This window comes from Homo sapiens, chromosome 1 (assembly GCF_000001405.40).
Source record: "Homo sapiens chromosome 1, GRCh38.p14 Primary Assembly".
Taxonomy (NCBI): Eukaryota; Metazoa; Chordata; class Mammalia; order Primates; family Hominidae; genus Homo; species Homo sapiens.
This window is the reverse complement of record NC_000001.11, coordinates 18,077,994-18,082,864: the sequence shown is the minus strand read 5'-3', so window position 1 is coordinate 18,082,864 and position 4,871 is coordinate 18,077,994. Positions and strand designations below refer to the sequence as shown.

Sequence of the window (4,871 nt, the reverse complement as noted above, 5' to 3'; positions counted from 1 at the left end):
AGGCCTGGTCCAGTCCTGGGGGAATAGCGAGGTTCAATAAATTATTCTTCCATTGTCTTAGAACAATTGTTTCCTATCCCTGTCTTTCCTTCCCAGCTCATCCAGACCCATGGTCTCTTCTATCCATCTGTCCTCATCATCTCTACTCGAGATTTTTGCAGAAGCCCTGGTGTAGATACAACTGCATTTCAGAGCCTAAGCTGGTGGTCCCAGTTCTCAGGTTGATCCAACATGAGTCATTTGAACAGACATTGACATTCAGAGGCTACTTTTTTTTCCATCTAGCTAAGAGGGAAGAATAGAACTGATTCTGATCACATGGAGTTGTATAGATAGAATGGGATTTCAGGAGCCATCCAGTTTTACCTCCCTGCCCATGGGAGAAGTCTCCCAAAGCATCGCTACCAAGTAGTCAGCCGGCCTCTGCCCACTGACTGCCCACTGCTCATGACCCCCAAGGCATTGCTGATGGCTCCCAATGTTCACTCCTTGCTCCTCATCCTGTTCTCCAAAAATGTAGCGGAGAATTCCAGGAGGCAGTGTCAGGGGGCCTAGCTTGAACCTAATTCTCCACCCATATTAGTAGATATCATTCACTTAATGTCTGTGCTGTATTAGGTATATTTAATCTTTGCAATATCTGTAGACTGACTTATTATCCCCATTTTACAGATGGGAAAACTGAGTCCAAAAATGGACCCAGTTTGGTGAAATTACTTGCCCAAATCTCATCACGAATATGAGATAAAACTAGGGTTAACCCATGTCTGGCTGATTGCCAAGTATGGACTCCAAGTGGTCTCCCATTTTTGCCCCTCAACCTCCAGAGATGGATGTGGGAGGTTGATTCTGCATGTGGCTGGTGGCTGGAGGGATATGCACTTCCCATGCCATGGGCTGGCAGCAGAGCAAGAATACAGGCACCTAGTCCAGCCTGGGCTCATCTGCTTTATGGTGCCCATGGGACAGACCCTTGCTCCTGCTGGCCTCAAACTCTCAGGACAAGACCCCGTCCTCTCTCCACCCCCCACCCCACAAGCCCCCTGGGATAGTATCTCAGTGTGTTGCCATGGGCGGATGCTGAGCTCAAAAACCACACTCACCATTCCTGGCAGGGTCTATGGGTGGGGTCACCCTATCTGAGGCCTGCTGAGACAAATTCACTGTGATCGTTTCACTTCTACTGGGGAGAAATCTCACAGCCTCTGGTAAAAGAGGTGCCACAGCAAGTGACAGTAAGTCCAGAGACACTTGGAGGTAACTGGGCCAGTCGGGGATGGGGACAGATGACAGGCAGGGAGGATATCCTCCAAGGGGGAAGGGGGAGCCAGGCAGCAAGGGGGAGCCACAAGCCTTCCCAGGCCCCCCATAACTGGAGAAAGCAGAACAGTGTGAAATCTGAAGTCAGGAAGCCTGGGCTCCAACCCAAACTCAGCCTCTGAGCCTGTGTGATCGTAGGCAAGCCATTTTGTGTCTCTGAGACTTGGTTTCCCCACCTGTAAAAGAAAGGTCCTAATGCCTACCTTTTAGGGCCATGTGTAGACTAAATATATTTGTTTATGTAAACCTCTTAACCCCATGCTTGGCTCAGCACAGGAGTTATTTTCTCCATAGTCCTGATCATATGCATCCAAAATCCTTCCCTCCTAGTAGTAACTCAAACGGCCCATGTTCATGCAGCCCCTTTTGCAATTTACAAAGCATGTTTCTGGCCATTGTTTCATTTCCTTTGTCTGAGACCTGCTGGGCTGGCAGAGCTTGGTTGGAGCTGCGTGTCAGGACTGTGGGCAATAATGGGGGATCCTGAAGCTGCACCCAAAACACATCCATTACTATCACTGGCTTCAGTGCACAGAGAGGTATGGTGGGGGTGCTGGTTGGATCTGGGAAACAGTGTAGTGATGAAGAGCTGGGAAAGTAGGACAGTGTATAAGCTGGAGGGGCTGACGTGGCTGCACCTGACTTCAGAGGTGACCACTACAGAGCTACCTGCCCTGGACAACCCCGTGCACCTGCCCCCGGGGTCCTCCCCATCCCCAATCACCACAGCCCTTATTACTCAAATCACTTCCCTGAGTCTCCATCGACTCCACACCCAGCCCCTGACAGTCTCTCCTCCTTTTAAAGTTCAAGGCCAAGTTCGGCCTGGCAGGCAGGAGCCTCTGACATTTATGAGGGCCCAGTGTGTGTGAGGCCAGCTCTGAAGGGGCCCAGGAAAGCAGCGAGCCGGGAGGAGGCCAGGGTGCAGGAGGTGCAGGATCTAGCGCCTTTGTCTGGGCCTGGGCTGCCCGGTGCCATGCTGACTGCAGTTATTAAAACGTCGATCACTCCCCAACTGCCCACCGCCTCCTTCCAGCCCCCGGAGAAGGCAGGGGGATTCATGGTTTTGTCTTTCCCGGGCATATCGATGTCTCCTTTGGGGAGCCTGTTCAATGACAGTTCCAGAAAGCCACATGGAGCAGAGAGGCCAGAATTAAAACGGCCACACGGAGGGACCCCCACAGACCCCCAATTTCCAGAGGCGTACAGATCAGAAGGCAGAAAACGCTGCATCTGTTCTTTGGCAAACGTCGATGGTTTTATTCCTCATCCTCCCACCCCCTCGTGCTCCTGCCCTTATCCTCCTCTTTATTCCTACTCAGCGCGACTCTGCAAAGAGCTCCTCTCATCTGCTCTGCACAGAAGCCTGGGGATGAGAAGGCTGACAGGTGTCTCATTACCACTCGCCCGGCGCGGGGCTGTTCTAAGGAAGATGCTGACCCGTTGTTCTGCGGCTGCCTCTGCTGACAAAGGAGTGGGAGGAGAACTGGGGGTCTGAGTGGCGGGAAGAAGCTCAACTAGGCCACATTGCAAGTCGGCCCCGAACCAGCAGACCTGGGTGGGGCACCTCCTTCTCCGTCTCACCAAGGGCACGAAAGACAACTTCCCAGGCCTTCGTTGAGAAATAAGGTCACCAATTCCTCCCTCCCAGGGTGGGCAGGAAGACAAGTGGCACAAGGTACTTGCAGCCTGTCCTCCCAGCTCAACGTCACCCTTGTCCCCCAGGCCCAAGCACATACCTTTCCCCCTCTTCCTGGCCCTTTTTCTTTTCATTCTGAATCCTCAGCCCTCACCTCTCACTTCCTCTTCTTCCCTCTCTGATTCTAGAAGAGAAGATTTGCACAGCAGGGTCAAGGCTCTGGACTTGGGATACCAGAGTCCCCATCCCTTCCAGGAGGGGTGACCTTAGGCCAGTGACTTACCTTCTTCAAGTACCATTTCCTTGACTGTAAGAGCAGAGAATCATGGACTCACCATATAGAGGCTGAGAGAGTCGGATGAGCGAACGCCCGCGCAGGACTTAGAAGAGGGCCAGGTGCACTCTGGATACTCTGTGAGTGTCTGCGATTGCTGTTATTTTACCCCACTATGTGTGTGCACGTGTGTCTGTGTGTGTGTCTCAGATTCAAGATGAATCCAGAAATAGACCCTGAGGAGTGGAGGGGCATCCCTGAAAGAAGAGGCAGGATTGCTGTCCTCCATCCCCTCCCCTCCTGCCCTGCCCTCCCCTTCCTTCCCCCTCTCCTTCATCAGGGAGTTCCTTGCTACTCTACAGGCTTCCCGTTTCTGAAAATTCCCTTTGCTGGCAGATTCTGGGGCCTTGCTCCCCTCTCTGGCCACACCCAGCTTGGGTTGCTGCGCCCACCTTCTCCTGTTTGACGCACACTGGGTGAGAGGGGCTCCATGCAGCCCTGCCCCAGTCCTGCTGCCTGAAGAGCGCCTGGAGAGTACTCATGTGGGTCTGTGGGAGACACTTCTCATATGCCTTTCCCCTCCATGCCATGGATTGGAAAACCGTGTGTGTGTGTGTGTGTGTGTGTGTGTGTGTGTGTGTTTGTCAAACGTGCATGTGTGTGCAGCTCACATGATCACCAGGCTCACATATTTGCATGAGTGTGACTTGCCCACATGTGTGACGGCACGCATGTGTCAAAACATGTGCTCCCATGTGCACAGGTATCCCTTGCCTATGTGGGTGAAGCTGCATGTGTGCCTGTCTGGTGTGTTTGCGTGTGTACGACTCCTCCTGCATGGGTACACGTGGGTATGTGAGGGTGGGTGTGCCCACAGCTGCTTCTGTGGCTTGTGAGTAACGAGACAGGCCCCTTGTTACCGTGTAGTCTCATTAAATATGTGGCATGTTAATGACACCAACGAAATCAGTTATAAAAAGCTCTGTATTAAAAATAATAAGAAACGGCCCTCTTGTTCCACAACTTCTTAGCTGCGTTTGGCCGCGCAAACTGCCAGGTTATTAAAGTGGGATCAAGCAAGCATCTTTAATACGCCTTCTGTGGCAGCTGTTTGGTGGATCTGCCATTATCAGCCAGCTGGTCCCAGCTGCCTTGGTCTCCCCAGCTCACTTGCTCCCTCCGAGACAGGGAACAGGGGAGTGGGAGGAAGTTTATGGGAAACATGCCTGGCGGGGGCAGAGGCTTTGTCCCACTGGCCTGACCTCTGAAGATTGCTTTGCTGTGGTAGCACACCGTCTCTTGTCTCTGCAGGCCACCTGGACCCATGGGCTGGGGGAGGAGTGGGGCAGGTTGCCACCCCAGAAGGGACATCTGCATCCCAGAGCAGGGCCCCCTTTGGGAGCATCTCCAAATTCCTCTGTGGTCTGGGGTAGCCACAGCTCTTCTATCCTTCACTGTCTTCTTGGCCCAGGAGAGGGGAAGCCATGGCAAGCCTGGGCCAGGATAATGAGAACATTCAGTGCCCTGCACCTGCACTTCTTAAACGACCACACACATGAATCACCTGGGGATCTTGTCAACGTGCAGGTGCTGATTCACGAGGCCTGGAGTGGGCCTGTGAGTCTGCATTTCTAACAA

General features: G+C 52.9%; 1 annotated feature.

The window, feature by feature from the left end:
* Nucleotides 4,432–4,621: a silencer, noted in NCBI's record as "fragment chr1:18404738-18404927 (GRCh37/hg19 assembly coordinates)". NCBI's record gives its function as "represses an EF-1alpha promoter that drives an FKBP-Casp9 reporter gene in an ReSE screen in HepG2 liver carcinoma cells {active_cell/tissue: HepG2}" and the evidence as "EXISTENCE:reporter gene assay evidence [ECO:0000049][PMID:32094911]".